Here is a 23986-nt window from a genome sequence, read left to right on the forward strand (position 1 = left end):
CAAAGATATCTGACCAGCAGGCTAGAAATTCTGTCAGGATTTCTGTATTATAGTCTTGAGGGAGAAATTTTTCTTCTCCAGGGAACCTCAGTTTTTGTTCTTAAAGCCTTCAGCTGAATGGATAAAGCCCTTTACATTATGGAGGGTAACATGCTTTACTTAAAATCAACTGATTGTAAATAGTAATCACATCTACAAAATGCCTTCACAGCAATATCTAGACTAGTATCTGGCCAAACAACTGAGCACCATAGCCTAACCAAGTTGATACAGACAATTAACAACTGCATGTACTGTATAATTCATAATATGCATCATAGATATTATTTAATTTTACACTTAAGACACCTAGTTTTGCTCCATCTAGTTTTCATAGTAACTATAAGAAGCAGAACTTCTTCCTTTCCTTCACTATTGTACATATGAGGAACTTGATAAGAGAGTAAGTGCCTGAAATCACACAAGCAGATAATGACAAAGTAGGACTTGAACTCAGGTCTTCTGACTTCAGAGCCCATATTTTCTCCCTTGTCATCAGTGTCTGTCAATAAATATTTCATGATTGGTTTATTTGTTGATGATCAGTTTGTACAAGAGCACAATAAAAACATAAAATTAAAAAGAAATAAAATGGTTAAATTAGTAGAAAATCTATGACTACTGAGAGGAAAGGGAGAAAAATAAATTCCATTGGCTAGCAGAGTACTTGGCTTTAGCTTAAATTCCTGAAGATAAAATTTGGAGTTTAACAGTCTTATATAAAATTTTGAAAATTGAAAGATGTTTTTCTGGGCCAGGGGCATTGGCTCACGCCTGTCATCCCAGCACCTTGGGAGGCTGAGGCAAATGGATCGCTTTAGGTCAAAAGTTTGAGACCAGCCCGGCTAACATGGTGAAGCCCAGTCTCTACTAAAAATACAAAAATTAGCCAGGCATGGTGGTGGGCACCTGTAATCCCAGCTACCCAGGAGGCTGAGGCACGAGAATTGCTTGAACCTGTGAGGTGGAGGTTGCAGTGAGCTGAGATTGCTCCACTGCACTCCAGCCTGGCAGCCTGGTCGAGATTCCATCTCAAAAGAAAAAACAGTATTTATCAGTAAAAAGGAGAATGCTCTCTCAAAAGATGTTTCCTCTGGCTCAATCGAATAGAAGTTACTAAAATATTAATTTCTCATTACATAGGAAATCTAAACTTCAACAACTAAGTTTGCTTTCCCTGAGGAAAAATCTTATTGAAATTTATTTTCTCTTTCCCCCCACCAAATCCTTATTATTAGAAGGAGTCAAATATAAAAAATTTGCCTCTTAAAAAAATTTTTAGATTAATGCTTGCCCCACCATTACCGCTTTTGTTTTTTTGCTGTTGGTATCCTTAAGAGTTTCAGGTCGTGCTGTCCCCTGTGCTAGGAGCTTGTCAGGAGCAAGCAGAGCTGCTGACATGGGCCTGTTAATTAGAGTGGTAACAAGGCAGGTGTGCCAACAAGACATCAGCTGGCGAAGATGGATAATCATGCCCTCACTGTTACCTCACAAGAACAAAAAAGCTTGTACATGAGAGCATCAATCATTGTGATTGTCTCATGTTCCAAAAACTGGAAACAAATGACCTGTTAGGCAGACTTCCAGATTCTGGCCTCCTCAGCCGTCTCTAAATCATTGCTCATTTTAAGAGGAGGGTGAAGAAAACGTCCCTGGTTGCTCATTTTAAAAAGGAAAATACCAGTGCTTTATGTTTCAGATGATTGTTTCAGTACTTTCACAAATGAATCTCTTGACATTGTTGGTAGAAAAATGAGAACAAGATGAACACAAAAAATGACCAATGCTTAAGGATTAATAAGGACTAACACATCCCAGTGTTTCGAATGGTGTAATGCGATAACTTGATGCTCTACACTAAGTCCTCAACATACAGTTAGTTCCTTTTCAAATCTTTCAAGAAGTTTCTTAACAATAACGTAGGTGATTTTGTGTAGTAGATGAGTTTTGCTCACTTTGACTCACAAAGAAATTGGTTTCTTTGATTCAGAAAAATGTTAGAGACATCAAATGCTTAAGATACCAAGGATTTCTGGCTAAATAAATGAAATGCTAACATATTTCTCAAGATCTTTGTTAAACTAGAATCTTCCTTTTCTAGGGAACACTTTTACACTGCTGGTGGGAATGTAAACCAGTACAACCAGTATGGAGATTCCTTAAAGAACTAAAACTAGAACTACTGTCTGATCCAGCAATCTTGCTACTATCTACCCAGAAAAAGAGAAGTCTTTATATGAAAAAGATGCTTGCACACGCATGTTTATAGCAGCACAATTTACAATTGCAAAATTATGGAATCAGTGTAAATGCCCATTAACCAATGAGTGGATAAAGAAAATGTGGGGTATATATATATATACTTGTGTATATATATATACATGTGTGTATATATATGTGTGTGTGTATATATACACACGTATATATATATATTTAACTGATTCTTGTGCCTTAGCCTCCTGGGTAGCTGGGATTACAAGTCCCCACCACCATGCCCGGCTAATTTTTGTATTTTTAGTAGAAACTGGGCTTCACCATGTTGGCTGGGCTGGTCTCTCTCTCTCTCTCTCTCTCTCTCTCTCTATATATATATATATATATATATATATATATATAGAGAGAGAGAGAGAGAGAGAGAGAGAGAGAGAGAGAGAGATAGATAGATAGATAGATAAATAGATAATATATATTTTATCAGTAGGCAAACTGCCTACTGATAACAGCTTTCATTGTGTGTTTTGGTTTGAGTATTTTCACTAATCCTGTCTGCCCCAGCACCAATGTTATAAAACTCAATGTTATAAAACTCGTCTACTTAGTTTTTAATTTTAGATATTATATTTTCCTTGCTAGAATATCTATTTGATTTTTTTCATAGATTCAAGTTCTCTAGTGAGATATTCTATTGTTTTATCCTCTTTTTCTTTATTTCTTTGAAGTTTACACATATATTTTACTTTAATATCAACTTTTATTGAAGTATAATATACATATGAAAACTCATACATGCAACTCAATGCATTTTTAAAAATTAATTAGCACCCAAATAAAGAAGCAGAACATTATCAGAACCTCAGAAATTCCATTTTACCTGTTTCAAGTCATTGTCTCCCAAGACTGACCCCTAATACCATAGTTTTTTTGGCCAATATTTTATAGTTTTGACTTGAATGAGGCAATATTATATGGTTCATCCTAATAACGACCAAACCTATATATTGGCTCTGGATATGCTTTAGAAGGGCTTAACTTGCTCATGAAAATCTTCTAATTATGTTTCAGATGAAAAAAGATATGTAAAAAGTCTTCCTAAAGTGGGATTCATACAGTCAGATTATTTCTTTTTGAAAGACAGGTTTATTATTGAAAATGAGGAAGTCATTCTTTTCTTGGAAGGGTGTAAGATCTAATCACGTCTTAGTTGACTAATGAAGTTCCTCTTCTTTGGATGTTGTGGGAGAGGACATCATTCTCTTCTCGGAAGGGTGTAAGATCTAATCAAGTATTGGTTGACGGATGAAGTTCCTCTCCTTTGAATGTTGTGGAAACTTCCCAGTGCAGGATGACCTCCATTTTTTTCCTTAAAATCTTATATAAGTCATAATCCCAGTCCGAGAAGTCTTCTCCTTTGATCTTATTAAGAAAAATAGATTGAGACACCCTAGACCTCAAAATAAGCCTTCTGGTTCCACTTGGGCAAAATATGATTGCAGCCAAGCGCAAGAGGGATTTCAATAGCTTAGAGACTCATGGTCCACTGGACCTTGGAATCTTGTTGGAGGCTTTGAAATATTTATAATTAGTCACCATATTTAGAACTGAGGAATCTCTATATTTCTGTAACATGTGGTAGGTTATTAATCATTGTATAGATTTGAAATTATTGATTTTAGACTGTTAATTTCATTTTAAAGAGATCAACAGGGAATTAATATCCTTCTAGTAATTTTGGTTGAACTGTCACTGGAGGTGAACTTGTTATCCTGAGGGGAAATTTGTCCTTGGGTTCTTCTGAATTGCCTGGTTCATTTGTTTCTTTAGCAACGTTGTCAGCTTTTCCTTAAGGGCTGGTTTATGTGTCAAGGACTTCACTAGGAATAGAACAGGGAAATCTTGCACAGGGCCCTGGAAGAGCCAGTGGGGAGGAAATGTATGCAATTCCCAGAGCTTAATGAATAGACTGTCTCTATGTACATCTCCTTTGTTCATGAGTTTCCTGTTGCCATTTTAACTTTAAAAGTTAAAGCGACAATGTTGTAATAATTTTCAAAAGTGAGTTACAAGAGCATAGTAATATAGGAATAGAAAGTGAGTTCAGAGTCTGGTGGCAAAGACAATGACATAGAGATAACTGATGAACGGCACGATTAGCAGGTGCCCTGCACAGCTGTACTCTCAGCACTGGAGTTCTCAGCAGGGGAGTCCCAAAGTGTTGGAAATTGAGTCTCCTGATAAAATGACCACAGCAAGAAAATCATAGACAAAGAACCCTTTGGGAAGTGCCTCTGGACCCCACTTGAACTGTTCACGCTTGATGGAGATATTTCAATCAAGCTTAAGCAGATACAGCTGGGCTCTCTAGTCTCTCAGCGACACAACCATTATGCACCACCACCTCAAAAAAAAAATTGCCAGTGACTTCTTTGAGTAGCCAATGCTCTATCTGTATAGTAACTCATTCATGTTAGAGTAGCTAGCTGGGGGTTTATTATTTTGTAAATCAACGTATGTCATGATTACAGTTTTAAAAAATGCATCTCCTAGATGATAAAATAATCACTTTACTTTTAGAAATGTTATTTTTAGTTTTATATTCTAACATATACAGACAACTGTGCCCTTTTCTAGGAATAACATCAAGTGACCACAACCTTAGGAAATAAATACCTTTTACTTGGTAAATAATTCAACTTCTTGGCTTCATTTTTATCCAGGACAATCCTCAAACCTTACTGCTGCAGAGCAAATTTATTTCTCCAGTAAAAAAAGAGAACTTTTGATCATCATAGTAAACACTATCCCTTATACATACAGCCAGAAAAATCTGAGGCAGGAAAAAACATTATTTGAAGATACTAAGTATCCATTTACTATTTTATTTAGAGCAAGAGAGAAGTTTTGTTTGTTTGATTTCTCAGTGAGGACTAGTGACTGCTAAGGAGAAAAACTAACCAATTGTGAAAGTGGGCTGAACATCTGCAGCAAATCTATTCCTATCTCAGATCAATTTATTAAAATGTAGCTCTTTTCTACTTTATTACATATACCTGTGTGCTTTTTTCTTGGACTATTGCCTAAATTAAATACACAAATCTTAGAATATTTCCTATTTTACCTATTCAAAACCATTTCTCTATCAGTTATCATTGCAGTTCATATTAGTGTTGTAGGGCCACTGCAACAATGTACCACAAATTGGATGGCTTACAACAAAAGAAATTAATTATCTCACAATTTTGGAAGCAGAGGTCTGAAATCAAAGGTGTGGGTGGCCACACTTTCTGCTCATGATTTAGAGGAGGATCTTCCTTGCCTAGCCTCGCCTCTGGCAGCTCTAGGCACTTTTTGGCTTATGACTGGGTAAGTCTTATCTTTTTCTCCATTTTCACATGGCCTTCACCTCTGTGTCTGTGTCTTCTCCTCTTCAGTCTGTTACAAGAGCACGTGTCAGGATTTAGGGCCTACTCAAATAATCCAGGATGATCTCATCTGAAGATCCTTAATTAAGTTACATTTGCAAAGAACACTTTTTCCAAATAAAATAACATTCACAGGGCCTGGGTATTACCGTGTAGACATATGTTTCTTGGGACCACCATACAACCCACTTTGTGGTACAATGACTGGGGATATTTAGTGTTACCTGAGAGCAGTATAGAGAAGAGGAAAGGGGGCTAAGGACACTTAAGGAGAGTATAACAGAACTAATTAGGCAGCACAGTTCCCATGAAGGAAGGATTATCCAGGTGACAAGTGGCATTTATTAGCAGTCTAGGATATGTGTAGCTATATATTAGGTGCTGTACATTTAGGAGGTCAGCATAGTTATCACCCTCAGAAAGCTGACAGAGGCAGACTAAAGGGTGGAATCTCAGAATGCCATTATTTACTCAAAGTATGACCTTCTCTGAAGTCTGGGCAACAGAAGGACAATGTGGACGAGCAATGAATGCCCATCGTATTCAAATTAAACTAAAGGATTCCGCCTCCTTTCCCTACCAAAGGCAGTACCCCCTTAGACATGAGGCCCAACAAAGACTCCAAAAGATTAAGGACCTAAAAGCCCAAGGCCTAGTAAAATCATGCAGTAGCCCCTGCAATACCCCAATTTTAGGAGTACAGAAACCCAATGGACAGTGGAGGTTAGTGCAAGATCGGATTATCAGTAAGGCCGTTTTCCCTCTATACCCAGCTGTACCTAAACCTTATACTCTGCTTTCTCAAATACCAGAGGAAGCAGAGTGGTTTACAGTCCTGAACCTTAAGGATGCCTTTTTCTGCATCTCTGTACATCCTGACTCTCAATTCTTTTTTGCCTTTGAAGATCCTTTGAACCCAATGTCTCAACTCACCTGGACTGTTTTACCGCAAGGGTTCAGGGATAGCCCCCATCTATTTGGCCAGGTATTAGCCCAAGACTTGAGCCAGTTCTCATACCTGGACACTCTTGTCCTTCAGTATGTGGATGATTTAATTTTAGCCACCCATTCAGAAACCTTGTGCCATCAAGCCACCCAAGCACTCTTAAATTTCCTAGCCACCTGTGGCTACAAGGTTTCCAAACCACAGGCTCAGCTCTGCTCACAGCAGGTTAAATACTTAGAGCTAAAATTATCCAAAGGCACCAGGGCCCTCAGTGAGGAATGTATCCAGCCTATACTGGCTTATCCTTATCCCAAAACCCTAAAGCAACTAACAGCATTCCTTGGCTTAACAGGTTTCTGCCGAATATGGATTCCCAGATACGGCGAAATAGCCAGACCATTATATACGCTAATTAAGGAAACTCAGAAAGCCAATACCCATTTAGTAAGATGGACACCTGAAGCAGAAGCAGCTTCCCAGGCCCTAAAGAAGGCCCTAACCCAAGCCCCAGTGTTAAGCTTGCCAATGGGGCAAGACTTTTCTTTATATGTCACACAAAAACAGGAATAGCTCTAGGAGTCCTTACACAGGTCCAAGGGATGAGCTTGCAACCCATGGCATACCTGAGTAAAGTAATTGATGTAGTGGCAAAGACTTGGCCTCATTGTTTATGGGTAGTGGTGTCAGTAGCAGTCTTAGTATCTGAAGCAGTTAAAATAATACAGGGAAGAGATCTTACTGTGTGGACATCTCATGATGTGGATGGCATACTCACTGCTAAAGGAGACTTGTGGCTGCCAGACAACTGTTTACTTAAATATCAGCCTCTATTACTTGAAGGGCCAGTGCTGTGACTGCGCACTTGTGCAACACTTAACCCAGCCACATTTCTTCCAGACAATGAAGAAAAAATAGAACATAACTGTCAACAAGTAATTGCTCAAACCTACGCCATTCGAGTTTCCCTTGACTGATCCCGACCTCAACTTGTATACTGATGGAAGTTCCTTTGTAGAAAAAGGACTTAGTGGGGTATGCAGTGGTCAGTGATAATGGAATACTTGAAAGTAATCCCCTCCCTCCAAGAACTAGTGCTCAGCTGGCAATATTAATAGCCCTCACTCAGACACTAGAATTAGGAGAAGGAAAAAGGGTAAATATATACACAGACTCTAAGTATGCTTACCTAGTCCTCCATGCCTATGCAGCAATATGGAGAGAAAAGGAGTTCCTAACTTCCGAGGGAACAGCTATCAAACATCAGAAAGCCATTAGGAGATTATTATTGGCTGTACAGAAACCTAAAGAGGTGGCAGTCTTACACTGCCGGGGTCATCAGAAAGCAAAGGAAAGGGAAATAGAAGGGAACCACCAAGCGAATATTGAAGCCAAAAGAGCCACAGGGCAGGACCCTCCATTAGAAATTCTTATAGAAGTACCCCTAGTATGGGATAATCCCCTCCGGGAAACCAAGCCCCAATACTCAGCAGGAGAAATAGAATGGGGAACCTCACAAGGACATAGTTTTCTCCCCTCAGGATGGCTAGCCACCGAATAAGGAAAAATGCTTTTGCCTGCAGCTAACCAATGGAAATTACTTAAAACCCTTCACCAAACCTTTCACTTAGGCATTGATAGCACCCATCAGATGTCCAAATCATTATTTACTGGACCAGGCCTTTTCAAAACTATCAAGCAGATAGTCAGGGCCTGTGAAGTGTGCCAAAGAAATAATCCCCTGCACTTCAGGCCATACATTTCAATCCCTGTATCTTTAACCTCCTTGTTAAGTTTGTCTCTTCCAGAATTGAAGCCGTAAAACTACAAATTGTTCTTCAAATGGAGCCCCAGATGCAGTCCATGACTAAGATATACCGTGGACCCCTGGACCAGCCTGCTAGCCCATGTTCCAATGTTAATGACATCGAAGGCACACCTCCCAAGGAAATCTCAACTGCATCACCCCTACTATGCCCCAATTCAGCCGGAAGCAGTTAGAGCGATCGTCAGCCAACCTCCCCAACAGCACTTGGGTTTTCCTGTTGAGAGGGGGAACTGAGAGAACTAGCTGGATTTCCTACACTGACTAAGAGTCCCTAAGCCTTGCTGGGAAGGTGACCACATCCACCTTTAAACATGGGGCTTGCAACTTAGCTCACACCCGACCAATCAGAGAACTCACTAAAATGCTAATTAGGCAAAACAGGAGGTAAAGAAATAGCTAATCATCTATTGCCTGAGAGCACAGCGGGAGGGACAAGGATCGGGATATAAACCCAGGCATTCGAGCAGGCAACGGCAACCCCCTTTGGGTCTCCTCCCTTTGTATGGAAGCTCTGTTTTCACTCTATTTCACTCTATTAAATTTTGCAACTGCAAAAACAAACAAACAAACAAACAAAAAAACAAAGTATGACCTTCTCTGAAGTTTATTCTTTTGTGTCTTAGTTTTCCTCTTTGGCAATTATGAATGTCAATTATTTTCTTCTCAGAGAACTGTAAACATTAATTAAACTAGTGGGTAACCATGTGAACTCAAATTTATCCCATCTTCATATAAAGGTCTCCTTTGCAGAAATACACTGAGGGTCTGAGAGTCCTTTCAGTCATTTTGTATAAATAATTGCAGCCAAAATGATTAATCCCTGACTTTTCAGTCAACAACTTTAATATTCCAACCTAAACCATCTTGAAGATAAATTATCCATAGTGATATTAATTATAACACAATTTCTTGAGAGTGCAAATCAAGTGCTTCATAAAATCATTCAGGTTCATTAATGTTAAAGTCTACACAATAAAAATTTCATGGAAATGCAGCATGCTCTAGCTGATCTTATTTTAAAGAGCAAATAAGACGTCAGTCAGTACTAGAGAAATGTATTTAATATAATATCCACTAGAAAAAGAAAGTCAGTGGCAAACAGTAGAAAGAACAAGTATATTACAGGACCTATATATGGATATATTTATTAAAATCATTTTGAAAAATGAATTAATGCTTGCTTCACTTCTCTCCTGGGGCTATTGTGTCAAAGAAAATAAAACATGAAGAAGGTGTGTGTTCAACAAGATAATGTCAAATATGGAGTATTTATTACCATTTTTATTATTAGTGGAAAAATCACTTGCATTTTTATGAATATTCGATGTTTAAAGGAATTTTTTTTTTGAAATTGATAACAGCTCCTGGAGAAAGAATTACATGGGTTGCTCTGTTTCTATGGGCAGGTGTTTCTTAACATTTTCCCCCGTTAGCCAACATTCACACACATAGACCCACACATACATAATTTCCATGACGATTTTAAGAAGACAATGTCTGTGACAGCTATTCTTGGAGTAAAAACAAGAAAGAGTGGGGAGGACTTTATCAGTGGAAAGAGGCAGTAATGGAGTTAATTGCTATGGGATAAAAACACCGGGAGCATTAAGCAAATGTCAGTTGTTAGTCAACCAAAATCGGAGGCAACAGATATTTTGCTTAGAGAAATAATAAGAAAGTAGTCAATTTTAGAGATTTTTAGAGAATTATATATATAATTATTACATATAAGAATTATATATAACATAATTATATAATTATAATATAATATTAATATAAATTAATTATATATTATACTACATAACTTATAATATAAATTATAATATAACATTAATATAAATTAATTATATATTATAATTAATATTGTATTATAGAATTGTGTTATATATAATTATATGTAATAATTATATATAACATACAATTCTATAATACAATAATATATATTTATATATTATATATCATATATAATAATTATATGTAAGTGACATGTATATATGGTCAATTCAAATGCTGAATCAGCCTAAGACAGATCCCAAGAGATTTTAATGCCCATATTTCGAAAATACAAATAAGCATTATTGCAAAAATAGCAGGTTAAAAAATAAAAACAGGAAGTCATCCTAGCATCATCACTTTAGCGAAAAGAACCATTTTGATTTAATTTTTCTTTCTCATTTCTATAATTTTATAAGATTAGGCAACATTTTTTACTATACAGTTATTTCATTTAACACTATAGTATGTACATGTTTCTATTTAGCTGCATAAGGCTTTATCTTAATACTTTAAAAGCATCATAATATTTAGAGTAGATAGTGTACAATTGAACTAACTATATTTGAATATAAATTAAGTAGTTTCCAGTTAGTTGATCAATTAATCATAAATCAATGTATTAGTTTGAAAGAAACCTTTAGAAGCTGCGATCCCTGACATTATTTTTTTTAACCTAGCACTGAGGCTATTTGCAGCGACAGTGCTCCTTTGTGATGCAATTTTTCTATTGAACACATTAAATATTCACTTATCATTTGTTTATTCAATACGTTTTTGAGACTACTGAAGGTACTATTAACTAGAGAAACAATGATGAAAAAATTAAAAGCCCATGGAAATGAAGGATCAAATCTTCCAGTGAGCAGAGAGAAGATAACAGTAAACAGACGCATTGTGATTATGGATAGACCTAAGAGTTTTGAAGAAAATAAATATGAACATATGAATAAGAGTGAAAGAATGATTGAGATGAACTTTAGAAGTATTGATAAGGAGACACTTAAACTTTTTCTAGGAGAACCCTACCTCCCACATCTACCTTCTCAATTTAAAAATGATATAAAACTACCTATTTTTTGTACCCTTAGACTGTGCAGAAGAATAGAAGGTAATAAATAGCCCAAGCAGGACTATTCAGTCACAATTTAGAAGTGAATTAGTGTTATGACTATAGTTCCTTGGAAAAATATTTTAAAAATAAGAAGCCAGTAATCCCAGAGTACCAATGGTGCAATGGTCCACCATTGCAATGGTGCAAGGGGGTCAGAGCTAGAGCCACAGAGCAGGTGGGAAGCCCTGGTTATGTTGCCCTGAGGGCTGAGAAGCTGGGGTGGGGGCACCCATCCAGGGGCGAATGCACGTAGGTGGTGCCCAGGCCCCTCCCCCTGCCCGGGGCCTGTCCATCTCCCTAGGGGCCACCAAGGCCTGAAACCCAGAGACACGACACCTGATCATCACACCCAGGCTTCCCTGCCCAGGCTAGAATACCCAGTGCAGGCAGACGTTCTGGGCTTGTGGCCGGGACAAGGGCGGGGGTCCCACTGGGTAGGCCTATGTCCCCAGACTCAGCTGGGATGATTGACCCACCACTTGTCATTCTGCCAATGTGCAGCTTAGATATGAGGGCCCAGATGCCCACTCTGGCCACACCAATCATGCTCCCCAGCCAGGCCCAATTCTGCTCATCTCACCTAACCTGGCCTCACATGCCCAGTGCCCACCAAGATCCTGCCAGCCAGAAGGGCCCATGCTCATCTAAAGCATCTACATGTGCCTGCATCCCATAGGCACTCACAGCTCAGGGACAGCCCCTGTGGACCCCAGTGGTCAGGCAGTGTCCTGGCCTAACCTCCAGCTCTTAAGTCCTGGCCATCATGTCTTTTGGGGACCACCAAGCACTGGCCATTGACGGCCCCAAAGAAGGCAGAGAATGGGCTGGTCATGGCAGCCTCAGGCCTGGGCCCTGGCCCCAGGGAAACAGCTCGTTAGTTCTGATTTGGACGGGACATTGACAATAGGTCAAGCCATATGCACAAGTATTCTCTGCAATCCAGTACAGCAGGAAGTTGGGGGACCCAGTGCAGCCCCCAGGCCAGCCGTGCACAGTGGTTCCAGCAGTGTGGGGTGGGGAGTGGGGAAGGGTCCCATACTCAGCCAAAAGCTGAATCCTGACCTGCTCACCCACCCTGCAAAAGTACCCTGGACTTCAGGCAGAGGCAGGCAGCAGAGTTGCCATCTCCTGGGATCCCATTCAGGGCCAACAGAGGCCTGAGAAAACTCAGGGGCTGAGCTGGGGGGAATCAGGCTGGGAGATGCCAAGTGAAGGGTGGTGTGCATCCAGGCATGACTGGTAATAAGAGTTCAGGGTCTAACTGACCCTGAAAAGGTGACAACAGGACAGAGGCCAGCTGAGCCCCTCCACACCCTAACAGCTACCAGGCACATATGGTGCTCAATTCCCCAGAGGCCCCAGGAAGGGCTCTTTCTTAATCAGTAAAATGGGGGCCCCACCAGCACCCACACATGCGGTGGTGTCCACGCACACCAGAGAATGAAACTCCTGCTGTGCTGATGTGGGGGACAAATATCCCTGTCCCCACATTCCCCAGCGTCATCCCCACATGGTGTTGAGCTTGGGGTGCCCAAGACAACAGCCCACTGATGCAGCAGCCCAAGGGATGCTGTGTCCTGGAGGGACCTGCGGGACCTAGAGGGCATTTCAGTCAGAGAATCTCCCTGAGTTTGTCATTCAATGGCCCTATGCCTCAGTTTCCTCCACTATGACACAAGGGAGAAATCCCACCCCACAGAGCTAGGGACCCAGTGAGGCCACCACACCAGGTTAAATGGCTGGAGTGTACAAAAGCTGGGCTGAGGGTACTTGCCCTGGGTGTCTCGCCCTGGGACTGAGGTCCACCAGTCCATGGCCAGGCCAGCCTGTTGGGGAGGTCTCCCAGTTCCAAGTCCCTGCAGTTGAGGCCCCCAGCGCATTGGGGGAGGCACAGGGTGGGATGGAGTGGAACGAAGTCCCATCATAAGAGCCCTGGGCAGACCTTAGGGAACAAGTATTAAACTGAGACTCGAGTCCGAAGCCGGCTCCGCCGTTTGGGGTGACATGAGTTCCAGGGCCAGGGAACAAAGCGTTCTGGTTTTAGACCTGCAGGAAGATCTGTGAAGCGCTCTTGGGCAGGGCACATGTTGCCGGGTATGTGCTTGAAAAGAGCCTAAGAAGAGGGGGAGTCTGGAAGGAACTGCGATGCCAAGGGAGAGGGTCCAGCCTTCCTGCTTCAGCACCTGGGCTCATTCAGCAAAGTTTCCTAAGAAAGCCAGAAAAAAAAAATGAGTATGGGTCCCATACTCAGCCAAAAAAAAAAAAAAAAAAAAAAAAAAATTCCAAAGGCCAGGAGGGCTAATGGGACTTTACTGGGACTATCTGGCCTAATCCTACAAACAAGCCAGCCATAGTAGCCCATCAGTCCTCTGGGACGGGTGAGGAACCTGAGATGGTAGGAGGGCCCCCAGAAGGTCCAGGCAGAGCCCCCTAGGACCCCACACCTTCCCCCGTGGCAGCTCTAACCCCAGCTTTTTCACTAGTAAGGCACTGGGGCTGCTGGGCCATGCCCGCTCCCCAACGCGGGGAAAGAGCTTCGCGCTGCCGCCTGGCTAGGGGCAGGGGCGCCGCCCTCCCGCGGCTCCGGAGCTGGCCAGGGGAAGCGCCCGCGGGGTCCGGGAGCCTGGCTACGCGTGTGCACCTGCTCCTGCCCTCGCCGTGGCCTCTGCCAGGACCCCGACGCTCCGCCGGACCCTGTCCTCCAGCGTGGCTGCGGCCCCATGGCCTGCGACAGCCGCCCCGTCCGGAATTCGGCGCCCTCCCCGGGGCAGAGGCCGCGGCGTCCTCAGGCTGTAGCGCCGGCCTGCGACCCCCACGCCTGGCTTGGGACCCAGAGGAGGAGGGCCTGCATCCCGGGGAGGGCGACCGGTCACCTGGGCTGGGAGGGCGGCGCAGGGGCGGAAGCGGCGGTCCGGGACAGTCTGGCTCTGCAGCCTCTCCCCGCCGCGGTCCGTCTAGTCCCTCCCTGGCGGCTGCGGAGCCCTCCCAGGACAGGGACCACAAACTCTCCAGAGCGGGAAGCCGTGACCTGGCGAGGCTGCCACAGGGACCGCTCGAGATCCGAACCGCTCAGACCTGGCGGCCGCTGGCGGCTGACCCACTGCGCGGGTTTCCGTAGAGCTCGCTGTCCACCCGGCCCTGCGGCCTCGGCTCTTGCGTGTGCGCTGTGGTGGGTCCCTGCTAGGGGCGACCCTATGGGCCAGCTTCCCACGCCTGGTCCCCAAGCCGCACCCACCCTAGCTCCCTGGGCTAGGGGACTGGCTCCTCCTGGGGGCCGTGCGGTGGGAGGCAGGGGCGTTAGGGGAGAGGGAGGGGTCGAGGGCAGCCCCTGCTCTGTGCACAGCGAGGTGGGGCGCAGGCTTCTGTTGCACAGCATGCGGCTTCAGCTGGGACTGTGCTCGGGCTCCGAGGGGGTATCGGTGCCGGAGGCGATATCAGAGAGGCTTCAGCAAGAAGGAGCCGCGGATCTGACGCCTGGGGTGTGAGTTGGTCATTTTCAGGTGGAAGAGGGCAGGACCGAATTGCAGGTGGAGAAGGCTGTGTGTGCGCACACCTGGGGGTGAAGGGGACGCAGCCTGTCTACCTGGCCCATGAAATGCGGGAGCAGCGGGTTCACAGCTCCATTGATTAAGCAAGTCTGGGACACACATGTAGCTAAGCTGAGTTCTGTGCCAAGGGTCCCAACACCCACTCCCCCAGGAAGACACAGGTTTGGAGGTTGGGTGCTTGTCAGGCCTAAGAATGGAGAGCAGGGGCCAGAAACACCAAGTAGGGGGAACCCACACTAGGGCTCTGAGGGACGACGATGTGGGGAGCTGGTGGCAGAGCCTGAGCTGGCCCAAGGTTGCAGGGTGGGGAGAGATTCAAGGCATAGCGGGGACTGGTGACCTCAGTTCCCAGAATGTCCCAGCCTGGCCTCCCGGTCCAGCCAGCAAGTACAGGGTGCTGCCCTGTAAAGACTCTGGGGGTGCCTCAGCTCCCCTCACCACACTTGACGGGTGACTTCTGTGTCCACCCTCACAAGAAGAGGTATCTTCTCTCACTTTCAGGCAAGCCCAGGAAAGTCAGGGGCCTGCGTGAACCAAAGAGGAGAGAAGGCGATGACCTCAGCCCAGTGTTTCTGCCTCACCTGGCTTATGGCCTTGGGGACTTGATTTGCACCGCAGGAAAATGGGCAATGAAAGCCCCTCCCTGACTGGCTTCTCACTCCACTGTGCCCAGCCCACAGCACAATGCCCACCCTGCAGCTCCTGGTACAGCCTGCGTACCTGCAGCTCCAGGTACAGAGGCTGTGCTGGCTCTGGGCTGACCTCAGGACCTTCTGATGGTTGGAACCCTCGGGATGCCTCATGTTCACCCTTTGGCACCCACCTGACAGCTCAGCATGTCTGCTGTATGACATCTTCAATGCCTGCTCTAGACAAGCCCAAGTTCCCCCGGAGTGGCAGAGGGAACTGAGCTGGAAACTAAGTCCCGACTCACTGAACCCCAAGTGGGCTCTCCAGCCTACCCCTTCAGTTCACAACTCCAGGCAAGTTCCCTCCAGGGATGTGATCCCAGGGGCCACAGCAGCACATTCTGGCCTATCCTATTCACTACTTAATTAACAGTTACTGAAAAGGCCAGGATGGGCATGGGCCCTGACATTAATCCCCTTTCTCTGTGATGGGGCTGGGTTGGGTTTGACATCCTGATGTCTTTGTGGAAAGAGCTGGCAGGTAGAGCAAGTCTTAGGGGCCAGCCATGGGACAGGGAACCTAGGATTCGCCTATGCTGGAACCCTCTGAGGCCCATGCAGTCAGGAGAGTCCAATGGAGGTCCAGCCACTTCTCCCAGGTTGGTGCTCACAACCCCTCCTGGATCACTCCCTCTACACCTGCACCTGCTGGTCTCTGGGAGAGGAGCATCCATCGATCTTGTGTGTAGGGAGACCCCCTGAAACTATTGCTATGGAATAAAAGATAAAATGCTCCTGATTATTGTAAATACAAAATTGTATGCAGGATTGTGTAAAGACAATGCCAGGCTGGACTGCCAGAACCAGCCAACATCACGTGATGTGCTTCCCCCTGCAGAGAGCCTATGAATGGACGTGCAGTCAGGGAGGTTTCACATCACCAAGATTCCTATCCCAGAAAAGCAGATGTTCATAGCTCTGGGAATGGAATGCGACCCTTGTGGGAAGCCTATAAACGGACGCATTGGGGGGCGCCTGTCCATATGGATAAGATAGGGCTATAAACGCCCTCATCTTGCCACGGCTCTTCTAGGCCTCTTTAGGGTTAAAGCATACTCCCTTCTGAGAATTTCTGGTCTAACCGGTTGTCTAGCTTCATGTCCTGTTTCCATGGATTGTTTGTAACCAGCTTTTGTTGCAATTGTTACTGCTGATTAATATCTTGCTAATCATAGGTTATGGAAAGACTGTGTTTCTGTTCTAAGGCTCTGTTAGAAATTACTGACGCACACACTATATTGTAAATTCTTATCTCTACATACAATTCTTATTCTTATTCTACACACAAATGTACTCTACTTCTACATACAAATGTTATGTTAAAGAACTACTTCATCCCCATGTGACCATCTCACCTCATAATCAAATGACCCTAAATCCCTCACTAACCTACCCCCGCCCTCACTAAACTTAATAATAAATGCTGGTTTATCCAGTGCATTGTTAGCACCGCGGAACCAGAAGGCGGTGACCCCCCTGGACCCAGCTTTCACTATCTTGTGTGTGTCTATTATTTCTCAACCTGCTGATCTGCCTGGGAACAAAGAGAGAGCCCCCTTGCCTTGTGGGCTGCTGGCTAGATCCCTCAGTACTTGTGCGCATAGCTTTCTCCTCCATTTCGATGAGTATGGTCTCCTTGGCAGAAATGCCCAGTAGGGGATCCTGAGCCTGTGCTGGCTGTTCTCTAAGTGGCAAAGTCAGTGAGAGAGACTTGAAAACTCCAGACTTATTATTTTCTGCATTTTATGCTTTCAGGCTTGCTTTTTCCTTAAAATGTGTAAAAACAAATACTGAGATTTCTTTTATATAATTTGGATTCTATCATCATATGGACTTTTCATTTTCCTGAAATTTATTTGTATGTATGTATATCAAACATTGAATTTCTCTTTTCTCCTTTACTGAAATGTTAACTGTTTTAGAGGCCAAATCTTTTTTTAAAAAAAATCCCTCCCATCCTGGCTAACACGGTGAAACCCCATCTCTAATAAAAAAAAAATACAAAATATTACCCGGGCATGGTGGCGGGTGCCTGTAGTCTCAGCTACTCGGGAGGTTGAGGCAGGAGAATGGCGTGAACCCAGGAGGCGGAGCTTGCAGTGAGCCGAGATCGCGCTGCTGCACTCCAGCCTGGGTGACAGAGCGAGACCTCGTCTCAAACAAACAAACCAACAAACTAACAAACAAAAAAATCCCTCTAATTTCTGTAAACATTTCTAATTTCATATATATTTTTTATACCTAATACACTACTTTGGAATTCCTTGAGGCCTAATGGCATCGGGGTGTTCTAGTTTTGTTATTGTTATTTCTGAATGACATTGACTTTGGTGCTCTTCATTTTGCATATTTAAAAGTATTAGATTGTGTGATTATATTTGACAGGTCTTGATGTGCTGTTTAGTGCTTTGGGTTGAGCTTTGGGTTCAGTTGAAATTTGGGTTGGATAATTTTCTTCCACAGGGGATTGTCTTGGATTTTTCTGTTTCTTCCTCAATATCCACCTGGAAAACTTTTGAATTAATTTATATTCACTTAAATATTTCTGTGCAAAAACTGTGTACAAAAGCCCCAAAGTATAATTTGCGCAGTTGAGCACATATTCTGTTTTCCAGCATTTATGGCGGTTTGTAGTGGAAAAGATTTTTAGAATATGTGGATTTTCGGAATATTCCCAGAAGCCCAGATAGCCACACTTTACCTTTGAAGGAATTGATTCGCAGAATACTGCACACAATCACCTTTGGAAGGAGCATATATCTCAACAAAAGTTCTGATTTTTTGAAGTCTGTATTGTGTGTTATTTCCAGGAGAATACAGCAATGATGGCAATGTTATCAAATGATTCAAATATGTAATGCTGTTATGCCTAACATAAGGATTCTATGTGATCATGCCTTTTGGCTGAGGACAATACCCCTGTCTTCTTGGAATTATTGATAATTAGATTCTAACTGCTAATAAGTCAGAAAATTAGGAACACCAAATTTCAGTCTTCTCAAGAGCAATCCTCTTATTAAATTTGAATCTTTACCTTTATCACATGCAAAAGAAATATTGTTAGAAAAGTGTTTAATGTTTTCCATATGGAGAGATTACTATTAGTTATAATTTCATTGTTAATCTTTAAAACCATAGAGTTGGAAGTATCAAAATGTCTTTCAATATACCTTAGTGGAATTTATTAAATTTTCATGGATGTTCTTTAGGAGGTTGAAGAAGTTATTTCTATTGCTAGATTTCTGGAGGATTTATCAGGAATGAGTGTCAGACTTTGTCAGATGTCCATTTAAATCATCATGGTCTTTTCCTTTATTCTATTAATATGGTGTATTACACTGATTGATTTTTAAATTTGTATTGATAAGATAATTCCACTTGGTTATATTGTCTAAATTTTTTCTAATTTTCCTTAATTTTTATTACAGATGAGGCCTCACTTTGTCACCCAGATTGGGGTGGAGTGGCACAGTCACAGCTCACTATAACCTCAAACTCCTGGGCTCAAGTGATCCTGCCACCTCAGCCTCCTAAGTAGCTGGGACTACAGGTGTGCACCACAATGCCAGGCTTGTCTAACATTTTTGTGTGTTGCTTCATCCAGTTTGCTAGAGTTTTTGGAGATTTCTGTCTTTATTCATGAGAGATAATAGTCTGCACATTTATTTTCTTGTGATGCTTTCATCTAATTTGTTATCCGGGTAATACTGGCCTCAGAAATGAATTGATGTTTTCCTGCTTCTCTGTTTTGCAAGTGTTTGTGAAGGATTGATTATTCATGAAGTGTTTAATAGAATTCACTAGTAAAGCTATGTGAGCCTGGGCTAGACTGATGAAGAGTTTTCACTAGTCTAATCTATTTTCTTGTTGTATGAGTATGCATATATTCGATTTCTTCTTGAGTTTACTTTTACAATTTGTGTATAGCAGGGAATTTGTTTCTAATTTGTAGTGTTTCATGCTTCTAGGTTTTCATGGCAGTTGAGATGTAAGAATAAATATAATGTTGGGCGAAAGAAGTTGTGGACAATCCGTAAATATCCCAACATCTCTTGCAGGAAGGTTAAGATTATTTTTCTTGCTGTACTTAATACTCATATTTATAGTGTGAGACAAATGTAATGTTGAATATATATAGAACTAGGAAAATTGCCATTTGTCTTAGTATTTAATCAAGATGGAAGTCTGGGCCTACCTCCTCTCTTCTATTAATATGTAGACAGGACACCAACAAAATTTGAATAAGGACAAACAAAGTGTTAGGAAATGAAGAGTGGAATGAATGGGTTAAAATGTGATGAAACAGAGTGGTGAATATTTACATAGAATCCATGATGTGCTAGGCACTATTTCAAGCTATTTGCTCATACACTTTTAATACCAATGACATTAAAATGTATAACAGAAAGATTCATATAAATAAAAATTACAACATTGAAAATAATATTAGGTGACACTAAAACTGTCATGGAAATACACATTTATATAAAACATAAAGTAACATCAAGTATTAAATAAATTTTAGAAAGTTTGATTACTAATCAGATGAATAAGTGATTAGCCTTTTTATCCAGTAAACAAGGCATACACATTATTTTTCAAATTCCAGAGACAAATATTTTAAATATTGAAGTTTAAGACCTAAAAATGTATCATTGGCTTCATGGAAGTAGATATTCACTAGGTGATATTTTCTAGGCTCTCTGAAATTACATCAGAAATATGTGAATTAGAATATAACCCATAAATAATATCTGGCCACATACAAAGTAATTGAAGATCAATTTAAATAGCCATTGGATTAAGAAATAGAGACTGAGGTAAATTTACAGGGTCAGGGAGGATTTAAGGAGGAAGCACTGACACTGGAGCCCAAGGACCTGGGATTACAGAACAGATTCTACCAGTGCTAACTGACTGCTCCAGAGAAAACATCAATTCTGTTCATGTGCAGCTACTATTCATCAAGAAAGGGATTACAACTTCAGAAATGTGTTCAAAGTGTATCCATACTTTGATGTATTAATGAAGTAATCACATTCTACACATAAGTACTCCATATGGAATATTGGGGAGGGGGTGTTCCAAATAAAGAGATTGAGGATTTTTCATGAGAACTCAGTGTCTGCTAGAAAATATCTAAGTAAAATATTTTACTTAAGTGGAAAGTGTGGATGTTTGTGCATCAAAAGTTTCAAGAATCCCTAAAATATACAATGGAGATGAGGAGAAAATATCAGAATTCCCCAGCACCAGAAATGAGGTAAGAAAAAATTCAGAGGAGTTGTAAATGTGAAAAGCCAATGGCTGGTCACACAGCAGTATTGATAATCTTGTGCCAGGACAACTAGAATAAATACATAAACATACACATTGAAAAGATTTCCAATATTAGATCTCCCTCATGTGAGAACTAAATTATAAAGATTGAAGCATATAAGAAAATAAGCTACCAGAATTTAAACTACCAGAATAAATTAGATTACACATAAATTTCTGATATTGAAATTGTCACAAATGTTTAAGTTGGTAGTGAAAGATAAAGGAAATATAATCTTGGGAATCCTAGGGCCCTGCCCACTGCCTGTCCCTCTCCACACTACTACAGCTGATGCTTTCTGGAAAGTACCACCTCCTGGCAAGAGGCCAACCAGCACAAATATAGAGCCTTAAACCACCAAAGCTAAGGACCCTCACAGAGTCTACTGCACCCTTCACCACTTCCACTGGAACAGGCACTGGGATCCATGGTTGAGAGACCCATAGATGGCTCACATCACAGGACTCTGTGCAGACAACCCCTAGCACCATCCCAAAGCCAGGTAGACCTGATGGGTGGCTAGACCCAGAAGAGAGACAACAATCAATGCACTTCAGCTTGCAGGAAGCCACACCCATAGGAAAAGGGGGAGTGCACTATGTCAAGGGAACACCCCGTGGGACAAAAGAGTCTGAACAACAGTCTTCAGCCCTAGACCTTTCCTCTGACAGAGGCTACTCAAATGAGAAGGAACCAGAAAACCAACCCTGGTAATCTGACAAAACAAGGCTCTTCAACACCCCCCCAAAAATCACACTAGTTCATCACCAGTGGATCCAAACCAAGAAGAAACCCCCGATTAATCTGAAAAATAATTCAGGTTAGGTATTAAGCTAATCAGGGAGAGGCTAGAGAAAGGCAAAGCCCAATGCAAGAAAATCCAATAAAATGATGCAAGAAGTGAAGGGAGAAATATTCAAGGAAGTAGATAGCTTAAAGAAAAAAACAATAAAAAATTCAGGAAACTTTGGATGCACTTTTAGAAATGTGAAATGCTCTGGAAAGTCTCAGCAATAGAATTGAACAAGTAGAAGAAAGAAATTCAGAGTTTGAAGACAAGGTCTTTGAATTAACTCAATCCAATAAAGGCAAAGAAAAAAGAATAAGAAAATATGAGCAAAGCCTCCAAGGAGTCTGGCATTCTGTTAAATGATGAAACCTAAGAATAATCGAGGTACCTGAGGAAGAAGTGAATTCTAAAAGCCGGGAAAACATATTTGGGGGAATAAAAAAGGAAAACTTCTCTGGCCTTGTGAGAGGCCTAGACATCCAAATACAAGAAGCACAAAGAACACCTGGGGAATTCATCACAAAAAGATCTTAGCCTAGGCACATTTTCATTAGGTTTTCCAAAGTTAAGACAAAGGAAAGAATCTTAAGATGTGAGACAGAAGCACTAGGTAAGCTATAAATTAAAACCTATCAAATTAACAGCAGATTTTTCAGCAGAAACCTTACAAGCTAGATGGGATTGGGGCCCTTTCTCCAGCCTCCTCAAACAAAACAATCATCAGCCAAGAATTTTGTATCCACGAAAACTAAGCATCATACAGGAAGAAAAGATACAGTCATTTTCAGACAAACAAATGCTGACAGAATTCACCATTACCAAACCAGCACTGTAAAAACTGCTAAAAGGAGCTCTAAATCTTGAAGCAAGTCCTGGAAACACATCAAAACAGAACCTCGTTGAAGCATAAATCACACAGAACCTATAAAACAAAAATACAAGTTAAAAAGCAAAAACAAAAAATGAAAACAACGTACAGAGGCAACAAAGAGCATGATGAAAGCAATGGCACCTCAAATTTTAATACTAACGTTGGATGTAAATGGCCTAAATGCTCCACTTACAAAGTGCAGAACCACAGAATGGATAAGAACTCACCAACTAACTATCTGCTGCCTTCAGTAGACTCACCTAACACATAAGGACTTACATAAACTTAAGGAAAGTGGTAGAAAAAGGCATTTCATGCAAATGGACACCAAAGGTGAGCAGTGGTAGCTATTCTTATATGAGACAAAAGAAAGTTTAAAGCAACAGTAGCTAAAAGAGACAAAGAGAGACAGTGTATAATGAATGGTAAAAGGTCTCGTCCAAAAGAAAAATGTGACAATCCTAAACATATATGCACCTAACACTGGAGCTTCCAAATTTATAAAGTAATTACTAGTAGACATAAGAAATGAGATAAACAGCAACACAATAATAGTGGGGGACTTCAATACTCCACTGACAGCACTAGACAGGTCATCAAGACAGAAAGTCAACAGAGAAACAATGTATTTAAACTACACCTTGGAATAAATGGACTTAACACATATATACAAAACATTTCATCCAACAACCACAGAATACACATTCTATTAAACAGCACATGGAACTTTCTCCAAGACAGACCATATGATAGGCCATAAAAAGGTTCTCAATAAATTTAGGAAAATTGAAATTGTATCATGCACTCTCTCAGATCACAGTGGAATAAAACTGAAAATCAACTCCAAAAGGAATCTTCAAAACCATGCAAATACATGGAAATTAAATAACCTGCTTCTGAATGAGCATTGGGTCAAAAACAAAATTGAGATGGAAATTTAAAAAAATTCTTTGGACTGAATGACAATAATGACACAATCCTCAAGACCTCTGTGATACAGCAAAGGCGGTGCTAAGAGAAAAATTTATAGCCCTAAACACCTACATCAAAAAGTCTGAAAGAGCACAAACAGGCAATCTAAGGTCACACCTCAAGGAACTAGAGAACCAGGAACAAGACAAACCCAAACCCAGCAAACAAAGGAAATAACCAAGATCAGAGCAGAACTAAATAGAATTGACAAAACAACAACAACAACAAAATACAAAAAATAAATAAAACAAAAAGTTGGTGTTGTGGGATAATTTAGGAATCAGAGAGAAAGAGGGGTTGAGGAGGATTGATTATTATTATTATTATTTAGGCGTACTGGCCCAGTCAGATTAACATTCAAAAAAAACTGAGCCCTGAACAAAGAGTCAAGTTACCTTTTAAGCATTTTGTGGGGTGGGGGGAGATCTGTGCAGGGGGAAGCATATTACAGAAGAGAGAA

At 41.7% G+C, this 23986-nt stretch overlaps 2 annotated features.

Moving 5' to 3' along the window:
* Nucleotides 3427–3627: a silencer, noted in NCBI's record as "peak1673 fragment used in MPRA reporter construct". NCBI's record gives its function as "represses an SCP1 promoter by STARR-seq MPRAs in K562 erythroleukemia cells {active_cell/tissue: K562}" and the evidence as "EXISTENCE:reporter gene assay evidence [ECO:0000049][PMID:32103011]".
* Nucleotides 11590–12091: an enhancer, noted in NCBI's record as "H3K4me1 hESC enhancer chr12:34258479-34258980 (GRCh37/hg19 assembly coordinates)". NCBI's record gives its function as "activates a minimal SCP1, AML or CMV promoter by ChIP-STARR-seq in naive H9 embryonic stem cells {active_cell/tissue: H9 hESC(naive)}" and the evidence as "EXISTENCE:reporter gene assay evidence [ECO:0000049][PMID:30033119]".

The sequence above is a fragment of the Homo sapiens genome, chromosome 12, assembly GCF_000001405.40.
Source record: "Homo sapiens chromosome 12, GRCh38.p14 Primary Assembly".
NCBI lineage: Eukaryota > Metazoa > Chordata > Mammalia > Primates > Hominidae > Homo > Homo sapiens.